Here is a 20,634-nt window from a genome sequence, read left to right on the forward strand (position 1 = left end):
CTGTAATCCCAGCACTTTGGGTGGCTGAGGCGGGTGGATCACCTGAGGTCAGGAGTTTGGGACAGGCTGGTCAACATGGTGAAACCCCATCTCTACTAAAAATACAAAAAATCAGCTGGGTGTGGTGGTGGGCAGCTGTCATCCCAGCTACTTGGGAGGCTGAGGCAGGAGAATCGCTTGAACCCGGGAGGCAGAGATTGCAGTGAGCCGAGATTGTGCCACTGCACCCCAGCCTGGGTGACGAGAGCGAAACTGTCTCAAAACAAAAACAAAAACACAAACAAACAAAACCCAACAAAACATCTGTGCTTTGCATTCATCTACCTTCAGGCAGGTAGAGGAGGAAATTGGCTTAGAAAATCATCCTGTTTTTATGTTGATTTTCATTATTTTCCTTTCATAGATTTTTCTGTGACCATGAAAGAGAGAAATAAAGAATGATCCATGATTTCTAAACACCTTTTCCTGAGGATATAGTCATGTTGGAAGGCCTTGTAGCCTGGGTTCTCAATACCTATTTGGGAAAATATGTCAATAACCTGAACACTGACCAGCTCTCAGTTGCACTTCTCAAAGGTGAGTATTTCTCTGGGTGAGATACAGCTTTATAGGTGGCGTTTCTATTTTTGTATTTTTTTTGTTGTCCTGAGAATCATAAAACCTAATGCCCAGATGGCTTTGTACTAAATGTATGTAAAAAGGTCCCATATCATCCTGATGATTTTTCCAGAGTAACTTAAGTTTATAGCTATATTGTTGTAGATTTTAAGGAACTATTAAATATTAAAAAACAAAAACAAAATAAGCTACACTACTGGTGACTGTGCTTAGTCCCAGTTAACTTTTAGCTTTATGAAGCTTTATGGAGGCAGCCACAATGTACCGACAGTGGCATTGACTTTGGCTTCAAATACTGTTTTGTCACTTATTAGCTATGTGAACAATAGCTCATATTGAAATTCCAAGCCTCAGTTTCTTAGACAGAGATAATATACCTCCAGAGGGTTGCTTTAAGGATCAACTGGAATAACATTTAAAGCCCCTAGCCTGCTGGCATATAGTAAGCACTCAATAAAAGTTTTAAAATTGATTATTGTGAGGTGTTCAACAGAATTTCTGAGGTTTTGACTTGCTTAGTAGTAGAGTACCTGAAGCTTCAGACATTTTACCCTTTACAGGCCTAGACTTGGTAAATGCAGTCCCTGATTTGGCATGGGAATTCGAAAACTGCATTTTCTCCCTTTCCTTGTTTTAATTTAAATTCTCTTTGCTCAGCTCAAAATGGAGCTTTTTAACATACGTAGGGAAGAGAAGAAAGTCAGTTTGCCACGTGTGTAAAATCATAGGAAATGGGAAGGAGACTTCAAATACAGTGAAACCTCACCTTTGTGGATGTGAGTTTTGGTAAGTGGACCAGAGCAGGTTAGAGAGAACAGTGACACAGCTGTTTGCGTAGTCTGAGAATAGAGTACCGGTGGTTCACATGTTCCATTAAATGTGTTGCTTTCCGGCCAGGCGCGGTGGCTCATGCCTGTAATCCCAGTACTTTGGGAAGCTAAGGCAGGCGGATCACGAGGTCAGGAGTTTGAGACCAGCCTGGCCAACATGGTGAAACCTGTCTCTACTAAAAATACAAAAATTAGCTGGGTGTGGTGGCGGGTGCCTGTAATCCCACTACTCGGGAGGCTGAGGCAGGAGAATCGCTTGAAACCAGAAGGCGGAGGTTGCAGTGAGCCGAGGTCACACCACTGCACTCCAGCCTGGGCAACAAGAGTGAAACTCCATCGCAAAAAATAAAAAATAAAAAAAAAGTGTTGCTTTTCATGTTTTTCTGACCAAATGATTGTGGCAGCGCTAGGCCATGGGCAGAGCCGTCATGGTCACGCCTCCCCACTCTCTTCCTTTCCTTTCCTATTCTCCTGGTTTTCCTCTTGTCCTGAAACGGGAGCTAAGTGGAAAGTGCGAGTGAGCAGTCTGTCAGGGAAGAGGATGCATTCAAAGTGCAATAGTAGTGTCAAGTTCACCTCTCTGGTCTCTTATTGAAGTTCTCAGACCCACTGTGAAGCTAACTACGTTGTATGACGTATAGATAACAGGGCCTAGAAAGAGAGCTGCAGACCACGACCCTGCTAATCAAAGAGCTGGTTCTGTCAGGAATCATGTGGCAAGAGCATTTGCCAAAGAAATGAGTAAATAGAAATGGATATCTGATGTGTTACAGAGTCGTACTAACATTTCTCAGCAGTTTTAGAATGTATCTTGTAACAACTGTGTTTATCTGGTACTTTAAACTGCTTTTCTGCCCTTATTTCCTTTCTAAAAACATTATTCTTTATGGCTTTTAATGAACCTGTGGAACTTGAAGAATGCTTCTCCGCAGGGTAGAACAATGCTTTTTCTTTTGTAACTGGTGTTAGTATGGTACCCAATGCTTATGGATCCAAAGCACATCACAGAGCGTGGCCAGAACAATCTTGGGGGCATGGAATTGTACTGAGGGAATGGCTTCGTAAAGAAGTTGGTGCTGCTTGTTCGTCTCTGACACAGTTAAGCAGTGTTTGGGAATAGAGAGGGTACTAGATAGGAATGAGAATGTTCTTTCTTTTTTTTTGAGACAGGGTTTCTTTCTGTCACCCAGGCTGGAGTGCAGTGGCGTGATTTCACCTCAATGCCACCTTGACCTTCTGTGCTCAAGCAGTCCTCCTGCCTCAGCCTCCCAAGCAGCTGGGACCACAGGCATGCACCACCACGCCCGGCTAATTTTTATATTTTTTTGGTAGAGATGGGGTTTTGCCATGTTGCTCAGGCAGCTCTTGAACTCCTGAGTTCAAGTGATCCTCCCACCTGGGCCTCCCAAAGTGCTGGGATTACAGGCATGTTCCACTGCACCCGGCCGAGAATGTCATTTCAATCCATCTACTGATATTTACTGTTCTAGATGCTTTGGGAGATGCAAAGAGGACTGAAATAGTGGTCAAGGGTATTGATTTTTTTAGCTAAACTATGTGTTTGAATCCCAGTTCTTCCATTTACCAGTAACCTGGGTAGGTTATCAGTTTCTTCATGCTTCACTCTCCCTTTTTGTAAATTGGAGATAATATTAACTATCTCGTAAGGTTCTGAGGACTAAGAAATTAATGTGGGTCAGAGAGCTTAGAGCTGTTCTTGGCATATTGTAGGCTCTCAGTCAATGTTAGTTATCATCCATCCTCATGATCATCAGTGTATGATTGGATTGGCTGATGGAGTGGACTTCAAAGAGATTGTGTGTGTGTGTATATATATATCTGTGTATGTATATATATATGTGTGTATGTGTGTATATATATATATCTGTGTGTGTATATATATGTGTGTGTGTATATATATGTAGATTGCATCCACATATGAAAAGTAACAAAATGCAAAGTAACATGAGTGTTTAAGAATGGAGATAGCATTTAAAGACAAATAAAAAAAATACAAAGTAACATGGGAGGATCACCTGAAGCCAGGAGTTCAAGACTAGCCTGGGCAATATGGTGAGATCCCTTTTCTACAAAAAAAAAAAAAAAAATTAGCTGGGTATGGTGGCGCATGCCTGTGGTCCCAGCTACTTGGGAGGCTGAGGTGGGAGGATCACTTGAGCTGGAGAGGTTGAGGTTGCATTGAGTTGTGTTCCCTCCACTGCACTCTGGCCTGGGCAACAGAGCAAGATGCTTTTCCCCCAAAAATTTTCACTTGTTCAGTCATTCAAAAACATTTATTGAGGTCGGGTGTGGTGCCTCACGCCTGTAATCCTAGCACTTCGGGAGGCCAAGGCCAGAGGATCACCTGAGGCCAGAAGTTCAAGACTAGCCTGGGCAACATGGTGAGATCCCTTCTCTAAAAAAAAAAATAAATAAATAAAATTAGCTGGGTGTTGTGGTGCACGCCTGTGGTTCCAGCTACTTGGGAGGCCCAGGTGGGAGGATCGCTTGAGCCCAGGAGGTCGAGGCTGCATTGAGCTATGTTCTTGTCACTGCACTGTAGCCTGGGCAACAGAGCAAGACCCTGTTTCAAAAACAAAAAAAGTTCATTGTTCAGTCATTTAAAAACATTTATTGAGGCTGGGCATGGTGGCTTACGCCTGTAATTCCAGCACTTTGGGAGGCCAAGGCGGGCATATCACTTGAAGCCAGGAGTTCGAGACCAGCCTGGGCAACATGATGAAACCCCGTCTGTACTAAAAATATAAAAGTTAGCGGGGGTGGTGGCGTGTGCCTGTAGTCCCAGCTGCTTGGGAGGCTGAGGCATGAGCATCACTTGCAGTGTGCTGTGGAGGCTGCAGTGAGCTGCGATGTCACCACTGTACTCCAACCTGGGTGACAGTGGGACCCTGTCTCAAAAAAAAAAAAAAGAAATATATGTATATATATCTCCCCCCCAAAATATATATATATAAAATAATCCCCAAAAAATCCCCCCCAAAAAATATATATATATACTTGTAATCCCCCAAAATACATACATATATATGTATACATACAGGCATGGTGGCACATGCCTGTAGTCCTGGCTACTGAGGAGGCTGAGGCAGGAAGATCCCTTGGTCCCAAGAGTTTGAGGCTGCAGTGAGCTGTGATTGTGCCACTGCACTGCAGCCTTGGCAACAGAGTGAGACCCTATCTCTAAAAAATAGTAATAATAATAAAATTACAAAAAAATTTTAAAGCAAATTGCTTGTTCTCTAAGCCTTTTTTTTTCCTCCACCTCAAAAATTGAGAAACTAATATTATTTATTTGTATTGTTGTGAGGATTAAATGAGATAATGTGTATGAAGTGCTTGGACACAGTAGGACCACACTAAATGGTAGCTGCTATTCTTTTTTTTTTTTTTTTTGAGAGGAAGTCTCACTCTGTCACCCAGGCTAGAGTGCAGTAGTAGGATCATAGCTCCCTGCAGCCTCGAACTTTTGGCGATCCTGAAGCGATCCTCCTGCCTCAGCCTCCAGGGTAGCTGGGACTACAGGTGCATGCTACCATACCTGGGTGATTTTTTATTTTTTGTAGATACAGGGTTTCACTATGTTGCCTAGGCTGGTCTGAAACTCTGGGCTCAAATGATGCTCCTGCTTGGCCTCCTAAAGTGCTGGGATTATGGGCATGAGCCACCATGCCCGTCTTGTTATTCCACCTCTATAGTCCCTGATCTCAGAGGACTGTTAACCTGTTTGGGAGACAAATTATACGGTAATACAAGGCAGTATAGATTAAATGATTATTCTGGAAATACAGGCATCATGCGATGGGGTGTGAAGGAAGAGAGCTGTCCATTTTGCCTGTAGGACTCTGGGAAGGTTATGGAGGTAGCTTTTGAGTGGATCTTTTTTTCTTTTTTCTTTTTTTGGAGACAGGGTCTTGCTCTATTGCCCCAGGAGTGCAATGGCACCATCAAGGTTCACTGCACCCTCAACCTCTCTGGGCTCAAGTAATCTTTCCATCTCAGCCTCCTGAGTAGCTGGGACTCCAGGCATGTACCACCATAGGTCCGGCTATTTGTTTTATTTTTTGTAGAGATGGGGTTTTACCATGTTGCCAAGGCTGGTCTTGAATTCTTGGGCTCAAGCAATCCTCCTGCCTTGGCCTCCCAAAGTTCTGGGATTATAGGCGTGAGCCACTGCGCCCAGCCTTAAGTGGATTTTAGCAGGATTTCCATAGGTGGCACTGGGCAGGTCCCCACATTCGAGGTGGAATGCACCCTGTGAGCAGAGGCTGAAAACTTGCAGGGTGTTTTTGAAATGGTTTGGGGCCAGAAGGTAGAGGCTGCCAGTGCCATGTCAAGGAATCTGAACTTCAGCCTGGGGGCCTATCGTATATTTGTAACCCAAAACATCCATTTCCCCTCCTTTTTGTTTTTATAAGCTCCGAACCTTAGGTTGACTCTTTAAATAACCTGGAGCAGCGGGAAGAGAGTTCAGTAGCCATTAGAAATTACTGAGAAATGACCTACCTCTAAATTACTCCCAGTTTAGTGAGTAGATTTCTTGCTAGCCTGAGATGAGGAGTTTTTGGATGAGACATCCGTGAGTAAGTCTGTAATGTCTGCCTGGAGTGAGTGACCCGCATTATCATTTATAAAGCACTCAGTACATTGGGGTCTGTCTGGAGTGAGTGACCTGCATTATCATTTATAAAGCACTCAGTACTTTGGGTGTTTTTCTGCTTGGCTCTTTGGAGGGACCTTTCCCTGCAGGGCCAGTGGGTGCATATTTGAGTGGGTGGGGACTAGGAAACCTTCAGTCTTAAACTACGGCCATGCTGTTTTGCCAGATTCATTTGCTTTTGGCTTGGTGTAGGCTGTTGTTTCTTCTCATTTTTTCCTTTACATTCTCTCTCTCCTTTCTAGATCTCCTCCTTTGCCCTCTTATGCTTCAGCTTTAATTTTTCGTGGTGCGAGTTGCCTGCAATTCCCTTTACTTTCCCAAGGTTGTACAGCTGCCAGGGAAGCCCAGAGCTCACCTGCCTTTGTGACAGATTTGGGTATTGAAAAATAAGGTGGTTCGGGCTGGGTGCGGTGGCTCACGCCTGTAATTCTAGCACTTTGGGAGGCCAAGGTGGGTGGATCACTTGAGGTCAGGAGTTCAAGACCAGCCTGATCAATATGGTGAAACCCTGTCTCTACTAAAAATACAAAAATTAGCTGGGTGTGGTGGCGGGCACCTATAGTCCCAGCTACTCGGGAGGCTGAGACTGGAGAATCGCTTGAACCCAGGAGGCGGAGTTTGCAGTGAGCCGAGATCGCGCCATTGCCCTCCAGCCTGGGCGACAAAAGCGAGATTCCATCTCAAAAAAAAAAAAAAAAAAAAAAAGGCAGTTCGAAGCATAAATCATGCTCTTCAAAAGAAGAAACTATTTAATTGCCCCCATTAAGTCTGTTTCAACCAAGGAAAATGTTTCATGATTTTTTTTTCCCCTTATGTTCATTTTCTCCCCAAATGTGGAAATGGGGTTGTTTCGCTGGGGTTACAAACTTTTTCTTTCTGTTAGTCGTAAGGTATGGTGGTGGGGCGGGGTGGGGGGTGGGGCATGGCCCATGTGGACAAATGTTCCTGCAAAAATCAACAAATAAATTGATTGTATTTGTTCAGATCCGCCAAGTTGCTAGATTTGAATTCTTTTTCTTCTTTTTTTTTCCCTTTTTCTTTTTAGAGATGGGGTCTAGCTTTGTCACCAAGGCTGGGAGTGCAGTTGTGTGAGTATAGCTCACTGCAGCCTTGACCTCCTGGGCTCAAGCGATCCTCCTGCCTCAGCCTCCCCAGTAGCTGGGACTACAGATGTGTGCTACCATGCCTGGCTAATTTTTAAAAATTTATTGTAGAGTTGGGGTCTTGCCGTATTGCCCAGGCTGGTCTTGAACTCCTGGGCTCAAGCGATTTCCCAGCCTCAGCCTCCCAAAGTGCTGGGATTACAGGGGTGAGCTGCCGCACCTGGCCTGAATTCTTCTTTAGAAGCCAGTAACCCACAAGTCCTGAACAATCATTTAAAGGGAAACATAATCATGTTTTTTGCATTATTTTGTACTTGGAGTAAAAGGCTCTCTTGCATTTCTTACTAATTAATGGTTGTTGTCTGTACTCCGTGTTCTTGAAAATGTATATCTCAGACAGATTTAGGTTGCTCAAAAATTGCCTTGTGTCTCGCAAACAATTTTGTAAAAACAATGGCAGTGATTTAAGGATGGGGACTCTGCCTTCTCTTTTTACATTTTCAGTGGCCATCACAGTGCCTCCCACAGAGCAGGGCTCTATATATGTGAGGGTGAATGGCTTGCATAGCCGGGAGAGTGATGGATCTAGCTGCCCTCTTGTCAGTTCACTTTCGGGTTTAAGTCATAAAAGTTGGGTCTGAAAACAATTTTCAGCGGCGGTCCTGTTCCTTCTTTTGCTTTCTGATCGGTTATTACACTTGTAAGTAGAGGTGCTAAGGAGTTCCCCAGAAGAGAAGAGTATAATTCCTTTTGAAGACCAGTTTCATTTAATTGGATCATAGACTTTTGAATACTGTTTGCACTATACTCATTTTGGGGAGGGGTTGGGGGTGGAAGGAACTTGTTAGAAACTGCAAATTTCTGTGCTTCAATCCCAGAGATTCAGAGGTAGTTGGTCTGCGGGTGGGGCCCAGGAGCCTGCATTTCATCCTAGGTGAGTCAGATTTTGATGTTCCTCTGGTAAATATTAGCCTAAGCAAGGGGTCAGCAAAGAGACCCGCCGGCCACATCTGGCCTGCAGACTAAGAATGGTTTTTGCATTTTTAAAGGTTGATAAAAAAAAAAAGGAGAATACGCAACAGACATCATATAAATCCTAAAATATTTACTATCTGTCCTGTTATGGAAAATGTAACTCTTGGTCTGAACTCTTCATCAGCGCCTAAGCTTCAGCTCTCATGTACGTGTTAGAGCGGACGGCCTGGAAATTCGTTTAGATGAAGCGTATGGGCTGGTGGTAGCACTACACATGATAAGCCTGTTCTAGATGTAAAACTTTCCCTTTAACCTACACATGATATAGCCTGTTCTAGGTGTAAAACTTTAACCTACACATGATGTAGCCCGTTCTAGATGTAAAACTTTCCTTTAACCTTCACATGACGTAGCCTATTCTATATGTAAAACTTTCCCTTTAACCTTCAATGCTTTACACACAGTAGGTGGCCTACTGTATTTGTTAAATGGATATTTCATGATGCTGTTTTTATTTTTAGGTGCTGTTGAATTAGAAAACTTGCCATTAAAGAAAGATGCCTTGAAAGAATTGGAATTACCATTTGAAGTCAAAGCTGGTATGTGGAACTAAAGGAGGGGGAAGAAATTTGAGTCTTAAATTGTTTGAGAGGTGAAAACTGAGAGCCCTGGAGTTTGTATTGATTTGGCCAGTTAGAGGAAGGATATAGCAAATGTTAGAGTTTAGGCCAGTCTTAAAGTGTGGTCTTTGGGCCACTCGTATCAGGATGACCTTGTGATGGTGGTGGGGAGGTCAGGTGATACCCGGACCGACTGAATCAGAATCTCTGAGGGAATGTCATTGAACCTACAGTGTTTAATAAGCACTCCAGGTGATTCTTATGTTTACTCAAGTGTGAGAACCTCTGTTCTACATTCAAGGTTTCCTTTTCTTTCCCCTTTCCCTTTTTCTTTTTCTTTTCTTTTCTTTTTTTTTTTTCAGATGGAGTCTCGCTCTGTCACCGAGGCTGGAGTGCCGTGGTGCGATCTCGGCTCACTGCAACCTCTGCCTCTCGGGTTGAAGCAATTCTTCTGCCTCAGCCTCTAGAGTAGCTGGGACTACAGGTGTGCACCACCATGCCCGGCTAATTTTTTTGTATTTTTAGTAGAGACGAGGTTTCGCCTTGTTGGCCAGGCTGGTCTTGAACTCCTGACCTCAGGTGATCTGCCTGTCTCGGCCTCCCAAAGTGCTGGGATTACGGGCGTGAGCCACCATGCCTGGCCTCCTTTTTATTTATGTATTTATTTATTTATGACAGGGTCTTGCTTTGTCACCCAGGCTGGAGTACAGGGATGCTATCATAGCTCACTACAGCTTTGAACTTCCAGGCTAAAGAGATCCTCCTGCCTCAGCTTCCCCAGCTATTAGTTGGAATAGTTGAATACAGCTGCGTGCCACCAAGCTTGGCTAAATTTCTGAATTTATTACTGGATTACACGGTTGATCATTTGATGTTGTCATTAAAAATACCATTGTTGGACTGGACTTGGTGGCTTTCACCTGGAATCCCAGCACTTTGGGAGGCTGAGGCAGGAGGATCACTTGAGGCCAGGAGTTCAAGACCAGCCTGGGCAACACTGCTTGACTCTTATAAATTGAACATAAAGAAAGCTTGTATTCTAGGAGGCTTGGCTAGAAATGGAAGAACTTGGGAAATAAATATCACAATTCTACCGAGCCGTTTGGCTTTCTCATCAGCCCAGGTTCTCATGAAGCATCAGAATTCTTTATTGAGAGAAGGCCAGCACCATTTACCTATGTTTCAGTTTGTGGTGGGTATGTTCAAGATTGAATATATCATAGGTCTGATGACTCCAACTAGTGCTTATCAACCAGACAATGACTAATGAACAAGAAATGAGTTTAGTGTCCATGGGCTTGTGCGGGACCCGGGGAAGAAAGACACCCTGAGCAAGTGTAAGATGTACTCCAGTTGGAAAAGGAGATAGTTTCTAGAGGAGGGATGTTACTGTTGATGTGGTAAAGTCTTCGCGAACTTTTTCCAGCTTATATAAGTCATTATACCTTATTCTTACAGATGTCAGCCTCCTAACACTTGTTTCACATGTGCAAGAGCCTGCTGCCTGTTGTTTTAAATAAAAAAAAGTAGTAACAGCAATCCATGCTCCTTAAACAAAATTGTAAAAATACCAAAAAATGGAAAGAATTAAAAATGTGTACAGATGGTGAACAAGACTTTCCTTCTCCTTCCAGGCTTCATTGGGAAAGTAACCCTTCAGATTCCCTTTTATCGCCCCCATGTGGACCCTTGGGTGATCTCCATCTCCAGCCTTCACTTAATTGGAGCCCCAGAGAAAATACAGGATTTCAATGATGAAAAGGAGAAGCTGTTGGAAAGGGAACGTAAGAAAGCACTACTTCAAGCCCTGGAGGAGAAATGGAAGGCAAGGCAGAGATCTTCTGGGCCATAAGAGCAGTTGTGGTGACACGTGTAAGATGAGCAAGAACACTAGATTGAGCTAATGCTGACTCTTGTCTTTGTAGAATGACCGCCAGCAGAAAGGGGAGTCCTATTGGTATTCAGTTACCGCCTCCGTAGTTACAAGGATTGTGGAGAATATTGAAGTAAGTCCTGCTGACTTTTATAAAAGTATCAACGTGAAAGGGATTTCTCAGGTTTAAACGTGTTTCTCCTCTTAGTTTCTCATTTCTCGTGGGCTCAGCTGATCTAGGGTGTAGATGGGGCTGGCTGCTCAGGTCTGCCCTTTTGTAGGCTGTGCCAAGAGGAAAACCTGACAAGCAAGTCCTAGGCTCTGTGGCAGACACAGAGTTTTCTTGTTTCTGCTGGCATGAGGAGGAGTTTTCACATCTCTTCCATTTCACTTCCCGCACTTTCTTTTTGAATGTTGGAATCCCACTTGCTCAAGGATTTATGGCCTAAGAATCCAGGTTACTTGACCTTGATGACTGTATGGTTTCAGGGTAAATCACTTCACCTCTCTGGTCTCAGTTTCTTCATCTGTAAAAGAGAGAGGTTGGATGCCTGGTCTCTAGTTGGTTACATAGTGAGTTGTGAAATTGCGAACAGCTCACTAAGATACCTAACCTCTTGCTGGTGTATCTGGTGGCAATTTGACGAGTTACAGGACTGGGGCTGTTGACCTTGCCCATGTTTTCTACTTCAATTATACTTTTGTTTCATCCTCAAAAACTTGATCAGGGTCCCACTAATTTTCGTGAATGTTTTAAGAGTTTGTCCATACTTACTACCTCTAGAAGTTTCTTGCAGTGCCAATGTGACAGAGGCCAAATGTGTTCAATGTATGTCATGTTCCCAAAAATTACAGTCTGAGGTTTTTGATTTCGTAACTTTCCTTTGACAAACAAATTTATAAAATATTAGTCATTATTTTCATTTTATCTTAGTTTAAGTAGTTTTATTGAGATATAGTTCTTATGCCAGAAAGTTCAGTCTTTTAAAGTGTACAATTTAATGTTTTTTAGTATATTTACAAGGTTGTGCGTTGGTCACCACTAAATAATTCCAGAACATTTTTATCATCCCAACAGGTAGTCACTGCCAAAGCTGGGCTTCGTGGCATGTACCTGTAATCCCAGCTACTTGGGAGGCTGGGGCAAGAGGATGACTTGAGCCGAGGAGTTGGGCTGCAAGGCTGTAGTGAGCTATAATAGTGCCCCTGCACCCCATTCTGGGCAACAGACCAAAACCCTGTATCTTAAAAAAAAAATAATAATTTAAAAAAGTAGTCATTGCCAATTCCCCTCTGCCTTCAGCCCCTGTCAATCACTAATCTACTTTCTTTCTAGATTTGCCTATTGTAGACATTTCATCTAAATGGAATCATGTAATATATAGCCTGGCCATTTTCACTTGACATAATGTTTTCAAGGGTCATCTGTGTAGTAGCATGTGTCAGCACTTTATTCCTTTTTATGACTGAATCATATATTCCATTGTATGGATTGTCAAAGATTAAACAAAGCTGGACCTCAGAGCAATGAAAACAGATTTTACTCTGTAACTACTGACAGTAGAGGAAAGAGCTGAGCTCCAGGCTGACTTGTGTGGAGGTAGCTGGGCCTTTTAAAGAGAGCTTGAGGGTGCAGGGAGGTGGAGTGAGTGGGTACTCAAGTGAAAAATTACAAGGCGTTGGTCGCTGTGAATGTCATTAGGCTAACTGTGTCCGCTGGCAGTGATCAAAGTTAGGATTCTATCCTCCCTCAGACTGGGAGATTGAGCCTTACCCTTCCTGATGATTACATTTCAAAGGAGTGGCTTTCAGGTCCTTAAGAAAGACACTCCTGAGCTGTAGGAGATACAGGTCGAGTATCCCAAATCTGAAAATCTGAAATCCTCCAAAGTTTGAAACTTTTTGAGTGCCCACATGATACTCAAAGGAAATGCTCATTGGAGCATTTTGGAGTTTGGATTTTTGGATTTGGGATACTCAGCCAGTTAAGTATAATGCAAATATTTCAAAATCCCCCCCAAAAATGAAATCCGGAACACTTCTTGTCCCAAGCCTTTCAGATAAGGGATACGTGACCTGTACATATACATCTCTCAGAGAAATGTCACAGTTGAATTGCTCTGCAAACCTATAAACCCTTTTCAGTAAACGTGCTATAAGAAAGGAAGGTCAGGGGCCTGTGTCAGGTGTTGTCTGGAATAAAGGGTACGTTCTTTTGATAGTCCTGAGCTTTACCAGGCAAGAACTCAGTAGAGGACTGTGTTGTCCCCAGGGACATGGCCTCGGGCTGCCAGAAGCCATATTAAAGTTTGGTCAAGTCTCTTTGGAATGGAATGTTCTTGCTGAGAGTCCTTGCGTTTCTCAGGACATACGACATTTTGTTTATTCATTCATGAGTTGCTGGACATTTGGGTTGGTTCTCCTTTTTGCTATTACGAATAATATTGCTGTAAACATTTGTGTATAGGGTTTTGGGTGAACATGTTTTCAGTTGTCTCAAATAGATATCTTGGAGTAGAATTGAGGAATTATGGGGTAACTCTGTTTACTTTTTGAGGAACTACCAAACTGTTTTCCAAAGAGGCTGCACTATTTTACGATATCACCAGCAATGTATGAGCATTTTGTTTCTCCATATCCTCATCAACATTTATTATTGATTATGGGGCTGGGCACGCCTGTAATCCCAGCACTTTGGGAGGCCAAGGCAGGCGGATTGCTTGAGGTCAGGAGATCGAGACCAGCCTGGTGAAACCCCGTCTCTGCTAAAAATACAAAATTAGCTAGACATGGTGGCATGTGCGTGTCGTCCCAGCTACTTGGTGGGGAGGCTGAGGCAGGAAAGTCGCTTGAACCCGGGAGACGGAGGTTGCAGTGAGCCAAGATCACACCATTGCACTCCAGCCTGGGCGACAAAGCGAGACTCCATCTCAAAAAAAAAAAAAGCCTGCAGAAATGGTGAGATAGCATTCTCTCTAACACCATTCAGGACAGAAAGAAAAAAATTAAAAAAAACCCAAAAAAAACCCAAAAAAAACAAAAACAAAAAGCAAACATTTATTATTCATTGTGTACTAGTGGGTGTGAAATGATGATCTTGCTATGATTTCGATTTGCATTTTCTTAATGGCGAAGGATACTGAATATTTTTCCGTGTATTTACTGGCCACTTGTGTATCTTTTTTTTGGAGAAATGTCTATTTGAATCCTTTGCCACAATTTTTTTTTTTTTTTTTTGAGACGGAGTCTCCCTCTGTTGCTCAGGCTGGAATGTGGTGGCGTGATCTCGGCTCACTGCAACCTCCGCCTCCCGGATTCAAGCGATTCTCCTGGCTCAGCCTCACGAGTAGCTGGGATTACAGGCCTGCGCTATCATGCCTGGCTAAGTTTTGTATTTTTGTATTTTTTTTTTTTTTTTGAGACAGTGTTGCTCTGTTGCCCAGGCTGGAGTGCAGTGCAGTGGCGTGATCCCGGCTCACTGCAAACTCCGCCTCCCGGGTTCATGCCATTCTCCTGCCTCAGCCTCCCAAGTAGCTGAGACTACAGGTGCCTGCCACCACGCCCCGCTAATTTTTTGTGTTTTTAATAGAGACGGGGTTTCACCATGTTGGCCAGTCTGGTCTCTAACTCCTGACCTCAGGTGATCCGACTGCCTCGGCCTCCCAAAGTGCTGGGATTACAGGCATGATCCACCGTGCCTGGCCATCCTTTGCCTATTTTACAAATCAGTTTATCTTTTTATTGTTGAGTTATAAGAGCTCTCTATATATTCTGAATACCAGATTCTTATCAGATTTGCAAGTACTTTCTCCCATTCTGTGGATTGTCTTTTTACTTTCTGTTATTATTATTATTATTATTATTATTGTTATTATTAAGACATAATCTCACTCCGTTGCCTAGGCTGGAGTGCAGTGGCACCATCATACCTTACTGCAGCCTCCATCTCATGGGCTCAAACAATCCTCCTGCCTCAGCCTCCTGAGTAGCTGAGACTGCAGGCTCGTGCCACCATACCTGGCTATTTAAAAAAAATTTTTAGTAGAAGTGAGGTCTTGCTATGTTGCCTAGGCTGGTCTCTAACTCTTGGGTTCAAGTAATATTCCTGCCTCAGCTTCCCAGAGTGCTGGGATTATAGGCATGAATCACTGTGCTCAACCTGTTATTATTTTTTAATTCATTGAAGCAGAGTGCCTTTCCTGTAGCCCACTTACAGGGAGGGGCTAGGGGAAATACATATATACATACATAGTTTATGTGCCTTGCTGGTTTCCTTGGTCCAGATGTGGGGACATAGAGGCAAGATGAAGATATCAACAGAGCAAGAGGAACAATTGTCTGTATACAATGGCTTTGCTTTCTTTAATTGCTTTTTTTTAAGGTGTCTTCTGAAATGATTTAATGAAAGTATTGGAGCTCTTTTGGTAAAACTAATCACAAAGTAACATTCAAGAGAGTTATGATAACATAATATAACATAACATAATATAACATATTATAACATAACATAACAAGAGAGTTATTATAACTCCCTTAGGAACTTATAGGACACTGGATATGTGTGTGTTGTGTTTGTATAAAGTGCCTGGTGTGGTTTCCTTTAGTGGCTCAAGGGCAGTTTGACCCCTAACTATAGTATTTCACCTACAGCAGTTATCTAAATGCTTTTTCTTTTTTCTTTTCTTTGGAACACTATTCTGCAGGTGCATCAGCTGCTTTTTCTTTTTTCTCTTTGCAGTTAAAAATTCAAGATGTCCATTTACGCTTTGAAGATGGTGTCACCAATCCCTCCCATCCTTTTGCTTTTGGCATCTGCATTAAGAATGTGTCCATGCAAAATGCTGTGAATGAGCCTGTGAGTATGAAATGTGATGACAAAGCAGGAAGAAAGCCATGCTCTAGGAATCTGGGGCTCTGCCTTTTGCCATTTTGTGTTATGTAAATGAATCACATTCTTTTCCATTGCCTTCTGTGATAGGCATGGGTGTCTCTTGTGTATTTGCAACAAATCAAATTTGCTGAAATAGGGAAACAGGTAATTTTCTCTGACCTTTGGTTATATCACTTTCATTTTATACATGAAGAAACTGAGGGGCAGAAAGGATTTTATTTTTGATTTTTTTCTCGTGTTATGTACACTCCCTGGGTAAACTCACTGTGTTTCATAGTTGTAGCTACCACCTGGGAATATTTGATGATGGCTTCCACATCTTGAACTCCATTCTCCACCCTTTGACCTTCATATTCGTGGTTTTCTTAAAACTACTGCTTGTCTCAAAACACACTCTGTTTCTTCACACTCTACACAAAAAACAACACTTTTGACACCAGACGTGTGAGGATTTTCCCCCACACGCCAAGCAGTTCTCCACATATCAACTCAGTGTCCTATAGTTCAAGTCAATTCTGACACTAATGGGTTACTGCAGACCCCGCTGGGTAAGGGCTTAGTCCCATAGGACCGCCTCCCACTTCAGATGCCAGTCACAAGGCCCAGGTTGTGACCGGTGCTTCTGACTAGAAGTTGGAGTTCCCACAGTTCCCCTCCTCAGGTTTGGTAATTTGCTAGGATGGCTCACAGAACTCAGGGAAACACTTTACTTACATTTGCTGGTTTATAATAAACGGTGTTATGAGGATACAGGTGAATATCTAGATAAAGAGGGCCACACCCCCCTCCAGTGTTCAGCAACCTGGAAGCTCAGCAGATCTCATGGTTCAAAGTTTTTATGCAGCTTAATCTCCAGCCCCATCACCCAGAGGTCAGTGAGTGGTGCTGAAAGGCCCAACCCTCTAATTACTTGATCTTTCTGTGATGAGCCCCATCTTGAGCCTGTCTAGGGACCCCAACAAAAGTCACTTAATTAGCATATACTGGGGTGTGATCATGAGGCTTTTTATGAACAACAATGACACTCCTGTCAGGAACTTCCAAGGGTTTTAGGAATTCTGTGCCAGGAACCAGGGAAAAAGACCAAATATATTTCATGTATGCCACAGCTTGTCATAACTAGAATGATCCTGTGTATTCCATCTGCCCATTTTGTCCCCTAAATGACGTATTTTTCTTTATTCCCTAACGTTACTGAATGTAAAAACCAACAATAACAGTTTTGAGCCCTTTTATATGGCAGGCACTGTTCTTAGCACTTTCCATGATTTAACTCATTTAATTCTCCTTGATTTTCACCACTGCTGTTATCCTAATAACCCTACTGAGGACACTACGGCACGAGAGGCGGAGTGAAAAGTGGAGCCAGGTCTTGAACCTGGGTGGACCAGCTCTAAGTTAGGGCTTGGCACACTGGCCGGTGGCCGAGTCTGGTTCCCCATCTGTTTTTGTAAATAAAGGTTTATTAGATCCCAGCCATGCTCATTAGTGTTGTCCACGGTGGAGTAGTGTAGTTGCAGCAGAGACTGCATGGCCTGCAGAGCCTAAGCTGTTGACTCTGCCATGCTCATTAGTGTTGTCCACGGTGGAGTAGTGTAGTTGCAGCAGAGACTGCATGGCCTGCAGAGCCTAAGCTGTTGACTCTGCCATGCTCATTAGTGTTGTCCACGGTGGAGTAGTGTAGTTGCAGCAGAGACTGCATGGCCTGCAGAGCCTAAGCTGTTGACTCTGCCATGCTCATTAGTGTTGTCCACGGTGGAGTAGTGTAGTTGCAGCAGAGACTGCATGGCCTGCAGAGCCTAAGCTGTTGACTCTGTGGCCCTTTATGGAAGAGCGTGCCATCCCTGCTCCTCACCCTGTGCTCCTGCCTGCCACACTGATCTCTAGAAGCTGTGTGCTCCTCCTTTCACTTCTTATGCTTCAGTTTCCATATCTAGTTATTCACAGTGTCGTGCTACTTTTTCTGACAAAGCATCTCAAACATAGCTCTTCCTGTCCATCCTCATATGACCGTCACCTTGCAGGATGCTGTCAGGTTTTACCTGGACTAATGAAATTCCCTGTTCTGTGATCTCCAGGATCTTTCCATTTGTCCTATACCAATGCTTTCCAGTGTTTTCCATGTCAGGACCCACACAGTAAAAAGATAGTATTTGTACAGTACACCGGGGCAAATGGCTGTGGCTGCTTGGGGCTGGAAGCGGCCAGCTGAGAGTAACCACGTTTCTAAGATGTAACTTGATCCCATACACTGGCTCATACTTGAGACACTCATAACTTTTTTTTTCCTGGCACACTGAAGGGAAAGCCCTACTTTACACTGTCACCAGACTTCTTTTTCTGAAACATACCTGATTGTGGTATCTGCCTGCATCAAAACGTTCAGCAGCTCCGCATCACCTAAGGCCTGAAGTCCAAACACCTTAGCATGGCATAAACTTCCTTTCCTAATGGATTTGATAACCAGGGCAGCCCTAACACATTGCCACAAACCAGATGGCTTAAAGCAACATAAATTTATTCTCTAGACGAGAGGTCTGAAGTCAAGGGGTTGTGGCTGATCAGTCCCTTCTGGAGGCTCTGAGGGAGAAACCGTCCCATGCGTCTCTCCTTGTCTAGTGGCTGCTGACGGTCATTGAGATTGCTCAGCTTGCAGGTGCTTCACGCAGCCTCTGCCTCCGTCTTCATGTGGCCTTCTCCTTGTGTCCTTTTTCTTCTTGTAAGGACAATACTCGTTAGATTAGGGCCTCCACTAAACCAGTATGACCTCTTAATTTGATTACATCTGCAAAGACCTAATTTTCGAATAAGGTTACATACACGCTTCTGTGTGGTTATGACTTTGTTTTGGGAAGGGAAGACACTATTCAACCTAGTGTATCTAGTAACATTCCAAGCTACTTTTCTCAACTCTTAGCTAACTCCTCATCCCAAATATGTATTCATCCACATGTACCAATACTGCCCCCACCGCACACATCCAGTGTTCCAGTTGTACAGACAGACTCACTGTTCCCTGAAGATATCAGGCCTTTTGTACGGTCACCCTTCCATATCCTCAGGTTCCATATCCATGGATTCCACCAACAGAGGATCGGAAAATACTCCCCCACTGGCTGGGTGCAGTGGCTCACGCCTGTAATCCCAGCACTTTGGGAGGCCGAGGCGGGCAGATCGCCTGAGTTCAGGAGTTCAAGACCAGTCTGGGAAACATGATGAAACCCCATCTCTATTAAAAATAAAAAAATTAGCCAGGCATGGTGGCATATACCTGTAGTCCCAGCTACTTGGGAGGCTGAGGCAGGAGAATCGCTTGAACCTGGGAAGTGAAGGTTGCAGTGAGCTGAGATCATGCCACTGCACTCCAGCCTGGGTGACAGAGTGAGATTCTGTCTCCAAAAAAAAAAAAAAACAAGAGAAGAAAATATTCCCCCTCCCCCTAAAAAACAAACAATAAAAAGAAAAATATAACAACAAAAAATAATATAAAAAAAAATTCAGGACTGGGCGTGGTGGCTCATGCCTGTAATCCCAGCACTTTGGGAGGCCGAGACGGGTGGATCACCTGAGGTCAGGAGTTCAAGACCAGCCTGGCCAACATGGAAAAACCCTGTCTCTACTAAAAATACAAAGTTAGCCGGGCATGGTGATGCATGCCTGTAATCCCAGCTATTCGGGAGGCTGAGGCAGGAGAATCACTTGAACCTGGGAGGTGGGGGTTGCGGTGAGCCGAGATCGTGCCGTTGTACTCCAGCCTGGGCAACAAGATCGAAACTCCATCTCAAAAAAAAAAAAAAAAATTCTGTATAACAATGATTTACATAGCATTTATGTTGTATTAGTTATTATAAGTAATCTAGAGATGATTTAAAGTGTACAGGGAGGATATATGGGTAGGTTATACGCAAATACTATGCCTTTTTAAGAGACTTGAGCATTTGCAGATTTTTGTATCTTTGAGGTTCCTGGAACCAACTCCCTGCTGATACTGAGGGAGGACTGTATGGTTGACCCAGCCCTTTCCTCCTACCCGACCATTTGCCTGAAACTTATATATCTTTCGACACTCATTTGCACAGTGACGTTTTCTTGTTTGCTCATAGCATCGTATAGATTCTTCTTCTGCTTCCCTCTGTGTCATTAAAATTATGTATTTGCCTGTTTGTATCGCCAGTTAGCTAGATTTTGAACTCTGTAAGAGCAGAAGCATGTTTTAATTGAGTTATATGTCCACAGCACCTTGCAAAGTACCTGACACATGATTCTTTACAAATGGTTTGTTGAATGAATGACATTCACGAATAAAGACAGTCATCCTATTTTCTTCTTTGTCTTTTTTACCTCAGGTACAGAAACTAATGCGGAAAAAGCAATTAGACGTAGCAGAATTTAGCATCTATTGGGATGTCGATTGCACTTTACTGGGGGATTTGCCTCAGATGGAGTTACAGGTACGATTTCGGCAGGGAGATTTGTTGCAAGACAGCATGGAAGGGAAGCGGCGTAGGGTCACTGCCACGGGGGCTTTTGTCTCTTGCCTCTCTGATTCCAGTTCCCACCCACTGTTCCTCTAAAGCCATTCACTCTCAAGTGTGTTTGCTTGAGGTACTTGCTATGTATGTGACTTCGAACAATATATAGTGCTTTGTTTTATGTATGTTTTAAATTTATACTAGACTATAGTTTTCTTTGGTTTATTTTATTCAGTGAAAGCTATGTTTTTAAGATGTTGCTGTTTGTACTTCCAATTCATTGCTCTGACCACTGCATAGTATTCCACCGTTTGCATGTTCACGTAACATACTTACACATCGAGATGTTTTCCATCATTTATTTATTTATTTTTGTAGAGATGGGGTCTCACTCTGTTGTCCATGCTGGTCTCAAACTCTTGTGCTCAAGCAATCCTCCTGCTTTGGCCTCCCAAAGTGCTGGGATTATAGGCATGAGCCCCCACACCCGGCCTAGGCATCCAGATTTTAAATGAACAGAGCACCAGGACTGAATCTTAAAGAGGAACTTTCTTACCACATTTATGTTTAAACT

General features: G+C 43.3%; 1 protein-coding gene across 2 annotated transcripts in view, besides 1 other annotated feature; it reads left to right on the plus strand.

Annotated features, from left to right (window-relative positions):
- The window catches only part of VPS13D (vacuolar protein sorting 13 homolog D), a 282,018-nt gene that overhangs the window by 3,758 nt on the left and 257,626 nt on the right, over positions 1-20,634 (plus strand). For both annotated transcript variants that reach the window (NM_015378.4, NM_018156.4), the window contains exons 2-7: positions 404-576; positions 8,726-8,803; positions 10,459-10,649; positions 10,750-10,830; positions 15,436-15,552; positions 19,935-20,039. In NM_015378.4, coding sequence (NP_056193.2) covers positions 480-576; positions 8,726-8,803; positions 10,459-10,649; positions 10,750-10,830; positions 15,436-15,552; positions 19,935-20,039 — 669 coding nt within the window. In that variant the 5' untranslated portion in view covers positions 404-479. The remainder of the gene's footprint in view (positions 1-403; positions 577-8,725; positions 8,804-10,458; positions 10,650-10,749; positions 10,831-15,435; positions 15,553-19,934; positions 20,040-20,634) is intronic.
- Positions 15,681-16,672: an enhancer, noted in NCBI's record as "H3K27ac-H3K4me1 hESC enhancer chr1:12309525-12310516 (GRCh37/hg19 assembly coordinates)". NCBI's record gives its function as "activates a minimal SCP1, AML or CMV promoter by ChIP-STARR-seq in naive H9 embryonic stem cells {active_cell/tissue: H9 hESC(naive)}" and the evidence as "EXISTENCE:reporter gene assay evidence [ECO:0000049][PMID:30033119]".

This window comes from Homo sapiens, chromosome 1 (genome assembly GCF_000001405.40).
Source record: "Homo sapiens chromosome 1, GRCh38.p14 Primary Assembly".
NCBI classification, from domain to species: domain Eukaryota; kingdom Metazoa; phylum Chordata; class Mammalia; order Primates; family Hominidae; genus Homo; species Homo sapiens.